The sequence below is a fragment of the Homo sapiens genome, chromosome 7, assembly GCF_000001405.40.
Source record: "Homo sapiens chromosome 7, GRCh38.p14 Primary Assembly".
NCBI lineage: Eukaryota > Metazoa > Chordata > Mammalia > Primates > Hominidae > Homo > Homo sapiens.
This window is the reverse complement of record NC_000007.14, coordinates 3,159,614-3,176,720: the sequence shown is the minus strand read 5'-3', so window position 1 is coordinate 3,176,720 and position 17,107 is coordinate 3,159,614. Positions and strand designations below refer to the sequence as shown.

The 17,107-nt window shown below is 49.3% G+C and overlaps 2 annotated features.

Moving 5' to 3' along the window:
- Window positions 540-1,039: an enhancer, noted in NCBI's record as "H3K27ac hESC enhancer chr7:3215315-3215814 (GRCh37/hg19 assembly coordinates)". NCBI's record gives its function as "activates a minimal SCP1, AML or CMV promoter by ChIP-STARR-seq in primed H9 embryonic stem cells {active_cell/tissue: H9 hESC(primed)}" and the evidence as "EXISTENCE:reporter gene assay evidence [ECO:0000049][PMID:30033119]".
- Window positions 7,766-8,561: an enhancer, noted in NCBI's record as "H3K4me1 hESC enhancer chr7:3207793-3208588 (GRCh37/hg19 assembly coordinates)". NCBI's record gives its function as "activates a minimal SCP1, AML or CMV promoter by ChIP-STARR-seq in primed H9 embryonic stem cells {active_cell/tissue: H9 hESC(primed)}" and the evidence as "EXISTENCE:reporter gene assay evidence [ECO:0000049][PMID:30033119]".

Genomic DNA, 17,107 nt, shown 5'->3' with positions numbered 1-17,107 from the left:
CAGGCTGATGGTGGAAATCCCAGTAAGTTGGCAGCTCCCACCAGACCCCCCACCTGCCTCATCCCCTGTTGCTGACACCTGGAGTTTGTCAGCCCTGATCAGAGGCCTCCAAAGCACACTCGCTGGTGGGGGTGGGGGATTAGGGAGTAGGGGATAGGTTGGGGATATCATAAGCTATTCTCCCACATTTCCCAAACCAGGGCACTGCTTGAGGCGACTTTGCTGCTAACTAATAATCAGTACAGTAAAGTCACACTTTTCTGTCTCTATTTTTTTTTTTTTTTTTTTTGAGACAGGGTCTTGCTCTGTCACCCAGGCTGGAGTGCAGTGGTGCAATCATAGCTCACTGCAGCCTCAAACTCCTGGGCTTCAGCATTCCTCTCATTTCAGCCACCCAGGTAGCTGGAATTACAAGCATGTGCCTCCACACCTGGCTAATTTATCTGTGTGTGGGTTTTGCTTTTGTTTTTGCTTTTTTGTAGAGATCGCATTTCGCTATGTTACTCAGGCTGTTCTCCAACTCCTGGGCTCAAGCAATCCTCCTGCTTCGGCCTTCCAAAGTGCTAGGATTATAGGTGTGAACCACCACACCCAGCCAAAATTTCACTGGAGTTCAGATTCTAAAAACTAAAGTTCTGCACAGTAAAAATCACGTACAGTCAATATGATGCTTGGAAAGGACCTTAAGAAGTTCAAAAGCCAATGATCAATTCCTTTTGTTTGTCTTTGCATTTGGGCGAGCTTTCTCAGGGGCGGCGGAGGTCAAGGTCTAGCTTGGGGTCTCTGTGTCAGCCCCTGTGTTGTGTGGCCGGGCTTTGGGATACATTTCCCCTGCACTTGGGGAAGGACCCTCTCGTCCAAGAGAAGCCCTGAGAACCTGAACTCTACCTCACAAGAGGCAGCACAATCTCTCTAGCCCCATTTCTGTAGCCCCAGCCTTCCCTCTTCCCTGCAGCAGAGCCTGCAAGCGAACAGATCTGAAATTGTACAATTCCCTGGGCGTGTGGGCTCAGCCTACATAGACACCCTAGCTGGGGTCTGTCAGCAAGATGAATGGTGCAGAGGCGACCAGTGACCCCCAGGGACACAGTGGATGCCTCCAATTATCTGGGCAGCCTCTAAAGCCCCCTTTTTATTTTCTATCAGTGGGGGCAAAGAATTTTTCTGTGGGCCAGTAGCTCCTGTAATGAGGCCTGTGTCCTCAGCCTTCGGGAGGAGGAAAATGAGGAACAGGGCTGTCAGCCTGCTTGCTAATCCAGAAAGATGATGACCGTGACTTGGGGAAGTCTAAAAGCAGGAAAAAGGAGCCCCTCCCAGGGTTCTGGCAGAGAGGCAGAGAACCCCTGGGTCCGATCGATAAAATATGTAATGGACTGAGGAGGTTTGCTTTGGGAAATTTCCCCATCTGCTCCGTCCAATTATCCTTTCTCATGATGAGGATCCTAAGTGTTTCGCCCCATGTGAGTGACATTTAAAGACCCACCCTTGTGTGAGAGGAGGCAGGGGCCCCGGGAGGTGGACTCCCCAGTAAATATCGGTTTAAGTGGAGTAAACACAAATGTTGTGCACCATCCCTGATTTATTGACTCGCTTCTCCCAGTCAATTTCCCGCCAGGGAGCCACATGGGGCTGCAAAGCGAGAGGTGGACAGATTGGAAGCCATGTGAAAATGTTTCCGAATGATGCTCAGAAAACAGGGTGTCATCCCTGGAATACATTACCTGCTCCTTGCAACACTCAGATACAAATCCCGGAGCTGAATTTACTGCGGGGTGTTTACGGTGAATCCAAAACACCAAACACACTCAGGGCTCCCAACCAGCCCTTGATCAATGTACCAAGGCGAGGAATTTTATTAGCCAGAAGTTTCCCTGGAGGATTTCAAGGGGGCAGGGTGGGGAGGGTGGAGTGGGTCAGAGTGATGGGAGAACAACCCTTCCCAGGAGGACTCTCGGGGATGAGGGAGGAGAGGAGCAGGGAGCATCGAGTGAGTCCTCCAGCCTTCCTAGAGCTACCCAGCAGGCCAGAGGGAAGGTGGGGAAGCAGCCACCATTGCTGATGGGCGGAAGAACTCCTGATGGCTGAGAGCCCAGGCAAGTCTGGGAAAGGAAGGTGAGCGGACAGGTAGGAAAATAGGAGACTTCTTTTCACACAGGGAAGCAAAAATGAAGGTTTTTGTTATTGATTTTTTTTTAAAGTCCTCTTATTAGTTACAATTTTTTCTCCTTTAATATTTTAAGATAAAATAATCCAACGTTGGCATTATTTTTCACTGTCATGTAATGGATGGTTTCTGATAACGTGATTCTACACTGATTGGACCCCTGTGGGGAATGGGGAGTTACTTGGATTGCATTTGGGGGGCTGCAGCCGGGTTGGGGGGCTGCAGCCGGGTCCTGGTGCAAATGTGTTGTACCCAGCGTGGACCTGGGCAGAGAGCGTTTTTATACCGTGACCTCCTGGCTCTGGGCTTGTGAAGTCCAGGGTTTGAGCCTTATCTGACTTGAGCTATTCTGGGTCTCAGAATACAAATGCAAGTCAGAGAGATATCGTAGAGAAAGCACAAAAACTGGAACTATGTTTTCTGGGAATATGCACAGTAGGGGGACAGGATATTTTAGATGGAAGGTCTCAGAGCAATTGGTAAATCGAGGAAGCCATATTAACCTCCCCTGGAAAAGTCTGAAGGTTTAAATTTGAAAGTAGATTGATTTCCCCACCTCCCAATTTCCACAAACACCAAGTTTTTGGGTTGTATTTGTTTTTGTTTTTAGAAATTAGAGGCCGTTGCCTTCTATGTCACAGGGTATGAAAAAAAGAAAGAGATAAGTAAATAAATAAATTAGAGGCGTTTCAGATACTGAGAGTTTGGGGGTTCTTTTGTTTTGTTTTGTTTTGTTTTGTTTTTGAGACAGAGTCTCGTTCTTTCACCAAAGCTGGAGTGCAGTGACGCGATCTCCACTCACTGCAACCTCCGTCTCCAAGGTTCAAGCGATTCTCCTGCCCAGCCTCCCAAGTATCTGGGATTACAGGCTCGCACCACCACCCCCGGCTAATTTTTGTAGTTTTAGTGGAGATGGGGCTTCACCATCTTGGCCAGGCTGATCACCAACTCCTGAACTCAAGTCATTCACCTGCCTTGGCCTCCCAAAGGGCCGGGATTATAGGCAAGAGCCACCGATCCCGGCCCTGAGAGTGTTTAAAAGAATTTAAAACTTAGGACCCCATCTTTCCTTCCTTTGGTCATCCACACACTTAGGGAATACTAAATAATTGAACCAATAAAGGAATGAGGAATTGTCCTCCTGTTCCACAGAACCTAGCACCAAGAAGGTCCACAGTAAATATCTGTGGACTGCCTGAACAGCTGCCCATTGGGGTGCCAAGACTGGCCATAAGGAGGATGTCATCAAGTCCTGCTCTGCGAATTTATAGCCCAGTAACCAGAAAAAGAAAGAGCCAGAAAGAAGGGAGCAGAGAACCAGAGCTAACCAGGCAAATCCACGCTTGCAAATGAGCCCCCAGCTGTCATCTTCCTGCCTGCCTCTCTCCCCTTGGCCCACCGTTACAGACTGCATCTCTGCCCTCCCCGTATCCATGCCCTTTGCTGTTGACTTTGCAGTTCTTCCATGAAAGGAATGGGATCTGTTTCTCCATACCCTGGCTTTGTGTTTACCCATGGGACTTACTTTGCCCAGTGGAATGAAGTGGGTGTGATGGTGCACCTAGGCTTCAAGAGCACCCACGCCTTTGTACTTGTTCTCTGATCCTTCTGCCATCATCATGAGCAGAGCATGCCTGGCCAGCCCACGGTCTCAGGAGGAAGACAAGAGATGCGTGGATCAGAGCCTCTCTGGCCAAGCCCAGGTTCGCACATCCAAGCCTCTGCTGGCCCTCTGACCAATGAGAGTAAATAACTACTGGTGTTTTTTTTTTTTTTTTTGAGACAGAGTCTCGCTCTGTCACCCAGGCTGCAGTGCAGTGGTGCGATCTCAGCTCACTGCAAGCTCTGTCTCCCGGGTTCACACCATTCTCCTGCCTCAGCCTCCATCCAGAGTAGCTGGGACTACAGGTGCCCACAACCATGCCCGGCTAATTCTTTGTATTTTTAGTAGTGACAGGGTTTCACCATGTTAGCCAGGATGGTCTTGATCTCCTGACCTCGTGATCCGCCCGCCTCGGCCTCCCAAAGTGCTGGGATTACAGGCGTGAGCCACCACACCCGGCCTATATAACTATTGTTTTAAGCCACTGAGTTTTGGGGTCGTTTGTTACGCAGCAGTTTTATAGAGGTGGCTAACCAATACACCCTATTCCTGTGGATGGTTCAGTCTTCCCTGGTCGACATGTCTGGCTCATCTGCACCTCCCACAACACCTCCACCCATTGTTTCTCTGCATGTGATTCTAATATTGATTCTTAAGACCCTTGAGCACCACCATTGATTTTTCAATACCTATTTCCTTTGTATGACGTTTTCATCTCCTTTGAATTTTTCTTCAGTACACGTTATCTCTTGCATCTGGATCTGGCTTGTCCTGCCCTCATCCCCTCTCCCCTGTGCTTGGCGTTCATATCCACTCTTGCTCCCTCCTCTCCCCACTTCTCCCTGCCTCCGGGCATGGGCTAGTGCCTACCTCCCACTGCGCTGCTCCTGTAATCTCTGCTGCCACCCTTGAAGGAAGGAATTTAGAAATGCTCCGTGAAGGCATTATTCATACATGAGACATTGTCACTGTTGACAGGGTAGGTAGGTCCCACTGTGGGCCCTGGTGACCTCCAATGCCAAGATCTCCTGGTGGAGGGAGCCGGGCTTGTGTGGAATAGACACAGCCTTGTGTGGCAGCGCGCAGCCTCTGCCAACAGCAAATTCGGTCGACCGCGACTGTTACTTGACAGCATTTGTTAACATATTAATGACAGAAAAAGGGTTTTTGGCAGAAATATCTTATCCTTGAGTCCTCCTCTCTGGAAAAAAGGAATGGGGTTCTTTGAGGAGTTAAAGCAGACATAAAAGAGCCAAGACCCCCTGGAGAGGATCCCCCGTTCTCATGCTGTCTTGGAATGTGGGCTCTCTGGGGATGACACTCATCTGTTGAGCCCCAAAGCCATGCCTTTGATTGCAAGAAACAGAGACCCACACAGGCTTGCCCAAGCAAAAGGTCCCCACCAGGATCTATCAGGAAAGATGGTAAATTTGGATTAAGATAGTCCAAGAAGGGCTGAAGAAAGAGATTAGAGTCCTTTCTCGGTACCCATGGCAGATTGGTTTCAGCATCCCCCACAGATACCAAAATCTGCAGATGCTCAAATTCCTGATATGAAAGGGCATATTATATACTTGTAACCCACAAACATCTTCCTGTATACTTTAAAGCATCTCTAGGTTACTTATAATACCGGATACAATGTGAATGCTTTGTAAATAGTTGTTTTACTGCATTGTTTTAGCAATTTGTATTATTTTTATTGTTGTATTTTCTTCTTTTAAATATTTTTGATCTAGGGTTGGCAGGCCCCATGGTTGGTGAGCCCGTGGTTGGTGGAGCCCGTGGTTGGTGGAGCCCGTGGTTGGTGGGGCCCATGGTTGGTGGGGCCCATGGTTGGTAGGCCCAAGGCGACCCCATGAGGAAAGAGCTGGACATCAACACCCTGGCCTTGCTCCTTCTGTCCCTCTGAATTGCTTCTGGGCATCCCCATTGGGTGAGCCCAGTGGGAAGCCAAAACCAGGGTAGGCCATTGATACTGTCCGTGCAGATCAGCCTCGTGGGCTGAGAGTCAAAAGGAGCAGATGGATCACAGGGTTGGATATCTGTAGCTCTTAAGCACACCCAACACAGCTCTCAGGGCCGGCCTCCACACAGTCTGATCTGAGAAGGGGTCTTGGTAACAGCACCACCACGGACATGACTCAGCCTCTCTCCATGGTTTTGGTCTCACCACCAAGTGTCAAATCAAGTCCTTGTTTCTTTGTTTGAATTCCAAAGAAAGAGAGAATCTGATTGACCGAATTTCAGATTTGGGAACCAAAATACATGATACAAGAGGACGCTGGAGAGCCTCTGGGCTGCTCCGGCCAGGCAGGTGGCACGCTTCCTTCCATGGGGGATGAGGAGATACGTGTCTGGGAATGATGTATTCTCATTCTTTCATTCTGCCTGATTTTGAAATTTCCCAGGAGCAGATCCTGCGATGTTGATGCCAATGCAGGTGGTTTATTTGGGAGGTGGCCCAGGGAAGCATAGATAGGAGAGTAGAGAAGTGAGGCGGGAGGGGAGGAGCCTCTAATAGAGAGTGTGTTACCGAGCCGACCGCCACCATGGCACCTGGGCTTCATCCTGCTGGGTTCGGAATTAGTGACTCAGTGTAGACCATGTCCTCAGAGTGATTCCAACTCTGGCGTGGTGTGTGGAATATGTGGATATGTATAGTTATATTTATATTGGTATTTTTTTGTTTTGTTTTATTGTGAGACAGAGTCTTGCTCTGTCGCCCAGGCTGGAGTGCAGTGGCGCAATCTCAGCTCACTGCCACCTCCACCTCCCATGTTCAAGCGATTCTCCTGCCTCAGCTTCCAGAGTAGCTGGGATTACGGCGCCTGACACCATGCCTAGCTTATTTTTGTATTTTTAGTAGAGACAAGGTTTCACCATGTTGGCCAAGCTGATCTCAAACTCAGGTAATCCACCTCAGATAATCCACCCTCAGGTAATCCTGACCTCAGGTAATCCACCCACCTTGGCCTCCCAAAGTGCTGGGATTATTGCTTGCCCAGCCTTACATTGTATTTTGATACATGTTATATTTATATTATATATATATATATGTATATATCAGTTATATTGCACATACATATATTTATATATGTCAGTCATTGGCTCAGTGTTACTGAATGCAGAAGGCCATCCATTCTCAGGCTCTTTTGGACCCTAGGGGCCAGAGAGGGCCCCCAGGCAGCTGGAAGTCAGGGCAGTGCACTACGATGATGGTTTTTTGTTGTTTTGTTTTGACAAAAGGTCTTACTCTGTCACCCAGGCTGGAGTGCAGTGGTGTGCAATCTCGGCTCACTGCAGCTTCCACCTCCTGGGCTCAGGCAATCCTCCCACCTCAGCCTCCTGAGTACCTAGAACAGGAGCGTGCCACCATGCCCAGCTAATTTTTAAACGTTTTATAGAAACAGGGTCTCACTATGTTGCCTAGGCTGGTCTTGAACTCCTGGCCTCAAGCAGTCCGCCCCACCTTGGCCTCCCAAAGCACTGGGACTACAGGTGTGAGCCACCATGCCTGGCCGGTGTTTTAAGGCTTCTTAGGATTTGTCTTAATTCAGGTATGGTAAGACACACAGACACAGAAATGATGGTCATGATAAAAGGCTTTTTATACTCACAGATTCCAGGACGTGTCACACGGGGCCACACAAAGCAGCCCCGGGGTCAGTCCGGAGACAGAGGGGCGGGAGGAAGCGTGTGAGAGCCTTTGTGGTGGTTTCCGAGGGAAAGCACAGGTGAGGCAGGGCGAGCAGGCTTCAGGTTGGCTGTTTGGATCATTTCAGCGGGCTCCGGGGCACAGGAGCTGCCCCTTGTTATCCAGTACCTGGCCCTGGGGTGGTCAGGGCAGGTTGGATGGGTGACCAGAGTGTAAGAGCCCTACAGAGGAAGTGGTCAGAGATGGGTTGGTTGGTTTGCAGATGAAAGCTATACTCACAAGTGAGTCATTTACTATCTCTGGGGATCCGCTAGCCCTGGGAGGCGCAGTCCCTCCAGGGTCAGCAAGACCCAAGACATCAAAGCGTCAGAACACAGCAAAGGAAAGTCGTGGTGAGTACAAATAGTCAGGACAGAGGGGACAAAGAGGTAGCTCGAGGGGCGAGCACTGATGGCATCTGCTGCACATTTATTCAACTACTTATTAGCAACCTGTTTAGAAAGTCCTGTCCCACATGCAGGGGAAATAGGGTAAACACTCGTTGCTGCCTGCATGGTGTGTGGCACATGGACATGGGGTCTCACCTCAGGGCAGGTGGAGCAGGAGCCCCAGTGCGTGCCAGCGTCATCCGCGCCCCAGAGGACGAAAAGTACGTGTTTCTGGTCCCGCATTCCAGTCTGGGCACCAGGGGCTCTGCTTCCAGAGCCAGTTCTCCAAGCAGCTTGGCACACACATTGCAGCTCCCTGTGCCAGAGCTTGGCCAGGGTGATGCCGTCCACTGGCTTCTCGGGACATGATATTTTCTGCTGAACCAACATGGCACACCCTGCGTCTTCCAAGGCCATTTAGGGAACTTGTGGATCTGCACAGGAGGCCACTTGGCAGTGAACAGAACAGGGTGCATAGAGGATCCCGATGGTGGAAGTCAAGGTGCTCAGGGAAGGCTAGCGCCTCTCGGAGAAGGATCGTTCCACATGGGGTCACTCAATGTCAACCACTTTGCATTAAAAACAAAAACAAACAAACAAACAAACAAAAAACCACTTTGAATGGTGGGAGCCTCCCGAGGCTCCAAACACCAAAAGTCTTCAAACAAGGCAATTAATTTTTCCATTTAAATCCCATCCTCCCTGAAGCCATGAGAGTTTTCTCTTAGTAAACTCTGAACATTCACGTGGCTGGAAGTAAATCAGTTACCCATGTTGAAACGAAGAGAGCCACACACTAAAAGGAAAATGAAAAAAAGTCATGAGGACGTGTGAAAAATGGACCAATTTCGAGAGTCTACTTTGGAAAACAGCATCCGTTTTCAAGCATTTCCACTTCATTTCTGAGTTAATGGGTCCCTCGTTTCCAGGGTGCCATTTCCCCCTCAAAAGATGAGAGCCAGTCTGGCTAGAGACACCCTCCCTCTCTGGGGAGCAAGTTGGGGGTGTCTCTGTTTCCAGGCAGTGTGGCAAAGCACACTGCAGGCCCAGCCTCCTCCAACTCCAGTGCAGCATTACGCAGAAATGTGTAAAGCCTAGGACAGTTGCAAACGCCTTTCTTCATTATGAATTTTTTTTCCTAGAGCTTGCTAATTAAATCATTAAAATTTTATCTTCACTTAACCATGGATAAGAAGCATTTGAAACATTTAATTAGTATTGCTGCAAGAGGCGCATAGAAGCCAGGAATCTTTGCAAGTTGGATCTGTTAGGAAGGGGAGGTGGATGAGGTCGGGGAGGGAAGAGATACCAGAAAGGAGACAGCAAAAGACGACAGGGTGGCTTATTTGCAAAGGAATCTGTAACTGCTTTGCTGCCTGTGATCAGAGCCACCTACCTGGTCCTGTTCCGCGCCTCTCTCATGAGCTTTGGCTGGCAGCCACAGCCAGGTTCCTACCCAGAATGGCAACCCCTGTGTGTGGGGATGGGGATGGGGATGGGTGTGGGGCGGAGTGCTTTTCGCGTTTCGGGGCTCTCGGCTCCACATGCTAAATTGCGTTTCAAATTTTACATACATTTACTTGCAGGGTCTCTGAGTTCCCTGCCCTTCTCTCACTCCCAGTCAGCAAAATAAAATATCATGAAATAAAATGGAAGTAGTGCAGCTCCAAGGTCAAGCTAATATTCAGCAGGTTGCGAAAAGGGCCCCTGGTCCCTGGGGAATAGACGCTGTCAGTTCCAGAGCCTGTCTCTAGTGCCCAGCAGCATGCTAAGTGCGTCCTGTGATCTCACATCATTCCACAACCACCCTGGGGTTTGTATTATCATCTCCTTAGCACTACCCACCTGTGTCTGTATTCATTTCCTAGGGATCCCATCACCATGTACTATAAACGTGGTGGCTTAGAAGAACAGACACTAGCCGGCTGCAGTGGCTCACACCCGTAATCCCAGCACTTTGGGAGGCCAAGGCAGGTGGATCACTTGAGGTCAGGATTTTGAGACCAGCCTGGACAACAGGGTGAAACACTGTCTCTACTAAAAATACAAAAGTTAGCCAGGCATGGTGGCGTGCATTTGTAATCCCAGCTACTCGGGAGGCTGAGGCAGGAGAATTGCTTGAACCCAGGAGACGGAGGTTGCAGTGAGATTGCGCCACTGCACTCCAGCCTGGGTGACAGAGCAAGACTCTGTCTCAAGAAACAACAACAACAAAAAAAAAAACCACAAAGAAACAAAAAAATACAAAAATTAGCTGGGCATGGTGGCAGGTGCCTGTAATCCCTGTTACTCAGGAGGCTGAGGCAGGAGAATCGCTTGAACTCGGGAGGCGGAGATTGCAGTGAGCAGAGATCATGCCACTGCACTGCAGCCTGGGTGACAGAGCAAAGACTCTGTCTCAAAAAAAAAAAAAAAAAAAAAACCCAGATGCTTATTTTCTCATGGTTCTGCAGGCCAGAAGTCCAAAGTCAAGTGCCATGCTCCCTCTGAAGCCTGCGGGGAAAGACTCTCCCTTGCTTGTTCCAGCTGCTGGGAGCCGCAGACCTTCCTTAGTTTGCAGCCACATCACTGTGATCTCCACGTGGCGCTCTTCCTGTGTCTCCACGCCCTCTTCTTCCCTAAGCCTGCCCGTCTCTGTCCAAATTTCTCCTTTGCGTGAGAGTACGGTTATGTTGGATTAATGTCCATCCGTCCTGATGACCTCATCTTTTTGTTGTTGCTGTTGTTTTGAGACAGGTTCTCGCTCTGTGAGCCAGGCTGGAGTGCAGTGGCATGATCACAGCTCACTACAGCCCAAACTCCTGGGTTCAAGCAAACCTCCTGCCTCAGCCTCCCAAGTAAGTGGAACTGTAGGTGCGTGCCATGTGTGCCACCGTGCCCAGGTAATTTTTTTAAAAAATTGTGTAGAGATGAGGTCTCGCTATGTTGCTAAGGCTGATCTCAAACTCCTGGGCTCAGTCGATCCTCCCTCCTCGGCTTCCCAGAGTGCTGGGATTCTAGGCACGAGGCACCACGCCTGGCCAAATGACCTCATCTGAATTACCTCTGTAAAGACCCTATCTCCGAGTAAGGTCTTAGAGTTAAGACTCCAACTTATCTTGTTGGGCAAAGCAATGCCACCCATAAGAAGAGCAAGGAGAGATTTGGAAGGTAGTTCAAGGTCACACAGCTGGTAAAAATGGGAGCTGCATTTCCCACCCAGGTCTGACCTCAGCACAGGCTCCTGCTGCCTTGCTGTCAGAGGTGTGCCCTCTAGGCCTCAGGCTCAGGGGCTTCTGCCACCCCCAGGAGGGTCCCAGTCCTGGAGCCAGCCAAGACCAGTCAGCAGGAGGACATCAGGCAGGCCCAGAGCCACCCAGACCAAGCATGACAGGCACTGGCCAGACCTGGTTGACACCCAGGAGCCTGACGCTCCAGCCTTCTCTCATGGACAGAGGTGCTACCATCTTTGTCATCGCTGTTTTGTGGGATTTCAGGGCAAGTGCAAATAAATCTCCACGTGCAAGAATTTCATGGGGTTCTGTCGAGGGGGCTGCCTAGCCCCTGCCTCCAGGTCTACTGGCTGCCTTGCTCACACCTGTCCTCACAACCACGTTGTCCTATCCAAGAACAAAGTGGTCCTGAGATGGACAGCCAAAATTCACACAGAATTCACAAAATTCACACAGAATTCACAAAATTCACACAGGACACAGGTCCTTGTGTCCTAAGCCCTGGCAGCACCTGCCCAGGGGCCCTGGCATCACTCAGGGGTTGATGGGAAGGGAGGGGCCTGACAAGCCTTGTGGGTCCCCCACAGTCAGTCCCTGCCTTCTGGGGCTGTCTCTGTCACCCCCACCCCCATCCTGCTTGGAAGGAAGCTCCAGGGTGCAAGCAGGAGAGAGGAGGCTGGAGGAGCCATGGGAAGGGGTGGTCCAGGACAGCTGGGCATCCAACCTTGCTCCTTGCCAGCTCAGGACAAGCAGACAGTCTTTTGGGACGCTCCACTTTCGTTCCTGCTATAAATAAATGCCCCCCGGGCACACTGGCACACTGGCCAGCTTTTCTACTGGAGGGGATTAGAGAGGGGAAGGAGTTCCCATTAAACACAGCAATTATTTAAAAATCCTTCGAGGCAACGTGCAGGAGACAGTATGCAAAACACTTTAGGAGACTCCAGCACCCAACCACGATGACACTGTCAAGTTGCAGATATGGTGGGAGAAAGAACGCCCCATGTCAGCACTCACAAAACACAACACACGTGGTTTAGAGCGGCAGCGACAGCTATTAACCTGGTATGTTTGTTATGAGATAATGAGAGCATGCAGTTCTTTGATTTCCACTAACTACCTTGGGAGCTTAACCCTTCCTCTGGAAAGGTCTCCGGGCTGGAATGTGTTATCTGATTATAGGCCTTCCTGGCAGGCTCCCCGGTGTGCTACAATTTCGGATGTTTGTGTGATAGACTCTGATCTCAGTGAATTACTGAGATTTCTTCAAAGAGTTGGGGGAGCAGGTGAGCTGAAGGGAAAGGAAGTGTCACCACTGGTAGATGGAGTATGGGAACAAACCCTCTGTCCGTTGTAATCACCTGCCACAGTGAACCTGCAGTTTTGTCTTGGTCAGAGAAGGAGGTTGGGCAGGGAAAGGCAGGTCTGTAGGGCCCCACGCAGTCCTTGGTGTAAAAACACAGGCTCTGGTGCCCCTCCTCTATCCCACAGCAGATAAGAATTCATCTCACTCCTCCCAGGAGCAAGGCGTATGTGAACCCAAGGAAGTCCTGATTAGGCCAATCATAGCTCGCCACAGCCCCAACTCAGGGTTACAGGCTCACACCTGTAATCCCAGCACTTTGGGAGTCCGAGGCAGGAGAATCACTTGAGCCCAGGAGTTCAAGACCAGCCTGGGCAACATAGTGAGACCCCTATCTCTACCAAAAAAATAAATAAATAAAATACAAAAGTTGGCCAGGTGAGGTAGCACACATCTGTAGTCCCAGCTACTTGGGAGGCTGAGGCAGGAGAATCACTCGAACCTGGGAGGTAGAGGCTGCAGTGAGCTGTGCTTATGCCACTGTACTCCAGCCTGGGCGACAGAGCAAGACCCTATCTCAAAAAAGAAAGAAAGAAAGAAAAAGTTCTGGTTAGACTTGGGCTGAGCAGAGAGAGAAGGCAAAAGTCACTTCTGTTTCCTTGTTAGAAGGGAACATTTCAAAGAACAGAAAGCAGACAGGCCTTTGTGAGGTGTCCTGAACTTTCTATTGCCCGGAGTGCTCCCTGGGGCCTTACTGATGCCCTAGGCAGTTCACGTTGCATGGGATCTGAGGAGTGCCCGTAATTGGTCCTGCATGCTTCTGAGCCAGTCCACTCCATCATCCCTGGTTACCGGCTCCTCTCTCACCATAAAACTAGAGCATATGGCTCTCGTAGCCAGAGGGGTTTCTCCGCTGACTGGGAGCTGTGACAAGCCTGCCAATGTTCCCCATCAGACCCGGTGGGTAGCGTCTGGGGTCAGAACCCACTCTTGTGTCTTCCCCACACACGAGGTTCTGTGGGGTCTTGGCCAGTGATACTCTGAAGGTCTTAGACTTGCAGCTGGAGGAGTGGTTGTCCATGCACCAGCAAGCATTCCCTGGAACTTAGTTTAAAACCTGCACCTCCAGAGTCAGAATCCGCATATGCCCTTGGGACTTTCAGCTGATGTGCATGCTGCTCATGACTTGAGAAGAGCTTCTCTGGGTGTGCTGTTCCATTGTCACACTGCTATTAAAGACATGCATGAGACTGGGTAATTTATACAGGAAAGAGGTTTAATGGACTCACAGTTCCACGTGGCTGGAGGCCTCACAAACATGGTGGAAGGCAAGGAGGAGCAAGTCACATCTTACATGGATGGCAGCAGGCAAAGAGAGGGCTTCTGCAGGCAAACTCCCCCTTATAAAACCATCAGATCTTATGAGACTTATTCACTATCATGAGAACAGCATGGGAAGGACCCGCCCCCATGATTCAATTACCTCCCACTGGGACCCTCCCATAACGCGTGGGATTTCAAGATGAGATTTGGGTGGGGACACAGCCAAACCATATCACTGGGGTTCATGTACCCAAGCTAAACAGCACTCCCTCCTAAGGAGGGCAGAAGGGGAGGAATGTCCAGGTCTGCCCAATCTAAAGGAAAATTCCCGAAAGGGGAGGCCCCTTGCTCATGGGAAAGAAATGGCTGCCTTTTGAGCTGGGCTACTTACAGGGTAAAGTGAGGCATGTACTCCACAGCGTGGGTAAGAGAGGATACCCTCCAGGAGAGAAAGCAAGTGTGTTGAGAACACAAGACAAAAAAAAGAGAAGCTCCTTAATCCTGCATCATCCTCCCACCCATGCAGGATGTGCTCAAGCTGCTACCCTCTACCCTCTACTGGGCTCCATGGGAAATACAACTGGTTGGGTGGGTGGGTGGAGAAGAAAAGAAATCATCACTAGGTCTGATGTGACCACACGGAATTTCTTTTCTTTTCTTTTTTCTTTTCTTTTTTTTTTTGAGTTAGAGTCTCATTGTGTCACCCAGGCTGGAGTACAATGGTGCAATCTCTGCTCACTGCAACCTCCGGCTCCTGGGTTCAAGCAATTCTCCTGCCTCCGCCTCCCAAGCAGCAGGGATTACAGGCGCCTGCCACCACACCCAGCTAATTTTTGTATTTTTAGCAGAGACATGGTTTCACCATGTTGGCCAGGCTGGTCTCGAACTCCTGACCTCAGGTGATCCGTCTGCCTCGGCCTCCCAAATTGCTGGGATTACAGGTGTGAGCCACTGCACCTGGCCAGCATGTCTTTTCTTTTCTTTTAGATTTAACTTGTTTTTTTTGTTGTTTTTTTTTCGAGAGATGGGGTCTCCCAATCTTGCCCAGGCTGGTCTCAAACTCCTGGGCTCAAGCAATCCTCCCGCCTCAGCTTCACCAAAGTGCTGGGATTACAGGTGTGAGCCACCATGCCCAGTCACAGTGATAATTTCAATAATAATACAGACTATGATTAACCATCATAGCCAACATTTACTGAGGACACTTATGTTCCAGGCACTCTATTCTGGAGTCTTTATTTTTTTGGATTTTAAAAAACTTTTAATTTTTTTATAGAGACAAGATCTCACTATGTTGCCCAGGCTGGTCTCAAATTCCTGGCCTCAAGCCATCCTCTCACCTCCCAAAGTTCTGGGTTTACAAGTGTGAGTCAACAAGGCAGGCGGCAAAGAACGTTTTGACTCCATTTTGTGGCCGCTGCCAGGAGGAGAAAAGGGATTGAGCAAAACTGTTTCAAGGAGAGTGGTCCAGTGGCCAGGTGCAGTGGCACACACCTGTAATCCCAGCACTTTGGGAGGCCGAGGCACCTGGATCACCTGAGGTCAGGAGTTCAAGCCCACATGGTGAAACCTCACCTCTACTAAAAATACAAAAATTAGCCGCATGTGGTGGCAGGTGCCTGTAATCCCAGCTACTCAGGAGGCTGAGGCGGGAGAATCGCTTGAACCCAGCAGGTGGAGGTTACAGTGAGCTGAGATCATGGCACTGTACTCCAGCCTGGGCAACAGAGCAAGACTCCATTTCAAAAAAATAAAGGAGAGTGGTCCAAAGAGCCCCTGTGTGAATTTTGGCTGTCCAGCTCATGAGCCATGAAAAATTTCCTTTTAAAAAATACAGTGTTAAAAAAGATAATTTCTCCCTCAGACTTAAAGAATATATTAATAGGCATGGAAAGACTGATTTTTCAATGAAGAGCTCACCAAGTCAGCCAGGGAAAATAAAACACAGCAACAACAAACACACAAGGGCACACACACACGCACACACACACACTAGCCTCACAAAAGCTTAAACACACAGCATCTTAATAAGGCACCAAAATGCCTGTTAGTTATGTTTCTTCTCTTAATTGTGCTAAAATATACAGAACATAAAATTTACCATTTTAATAATTTCTTTGTTATTATTATTATTTTCATTTTCTAAAAGACAGGGTCCAGCTCTGTCACCCAGGCTGGAGTGCAGTGATGCTCACTGCAGCCTCCAACTCCTGGGTTCCAGCAATCCTCCTGCCTCGGCCTCCTGAGTAGCTGGGACTACAGGCATAAGCCGCTGTGCCTGGCCCATTGTAACCATTTCTAAGTGCACATTTGAGTGGCATTAAGTGCATTCACAGTGTTGGGCAACCGTCACCACCATCCACCTCCAGAATGTTTTCATCTTTCCAAACTGAAACTCTGTCCCCATTCAACAACTTCTCATCTCCCCCTCTGTATTAGTCAGGGTTCTCTAGAGGGACAGAGCTAATGGAATATATATATATATAAAGGGGAGTTTATTAAGTGTTAACTCACACAATTACAAGGTCCCACAATAGGCTGTCTGCAGGCTGAGGAGCAAGAAGAGTCAGTCCGAGTTCCAAAACTGAAGAACTTGGCGGGTAGGAAGCATCCAGCCCAGGAGAAAGATGGAGGCTGGGAGGCTAGGCCAGTCTCTCTTTTCGCATTTTTCTGCCTGCCTTTATTCTAGCCATGCTGGCAGCTGATTAGATGGTGACCACGCAGATTAAGGGTGGGTCTGCCTTTCCCAGCCCACTGACTCAAATGTTAATCTCTTTTGGCAGCACCCTCACAGACACACCCAGGATTGATACTTTGTATCCTTCAATCCAATCAAGTTGACACTCAGTATTAACCATCGCACCCTCCTCCCAGCTCCTGGTAACCTATTTTCTACTCTATTTAGGTAATAGGTAACCTATTCACACTCTGTGAATGTGGTAACTCTATATGCCTCAGATATCTGAGTTACGTGTCTTTTAATTAGCCAAATTAAACTCAACTTAGTTTTACTAAGAAGAAAAAGGCATGGTGAGGCACACGTTGCAATCTCTAATAATAAAAAATAATAAAATTTGCAGGATGACGAATGTGGCCCACACACATATTATTTTTTTTTCCGGAAATTGTCTGCAAACAAATTTAAAATATAAAATGTTTTAACAAGAAAAGAAGGGAAGCAGCAAATTGCAACAGCCCAGCAGTTGTTTAAGGAAAGTTCCAGAAAGTGGTGGTGGTAGGGGGGTATGGGGACAGGGTGGGTGGGGAAGCCAGTCCTTTCCTGCCTAAGCTGGGAAGCCCTGTGTCTATCCACCGCTTCTCCCCCCGCTGGCTACCGGATACCTGCTCACAGGTGTTTATAAGCTCAGTGGCTCTCCTGTCCCAGCTGTCACAGTCCCATTGGCTGGGCAGCCAGA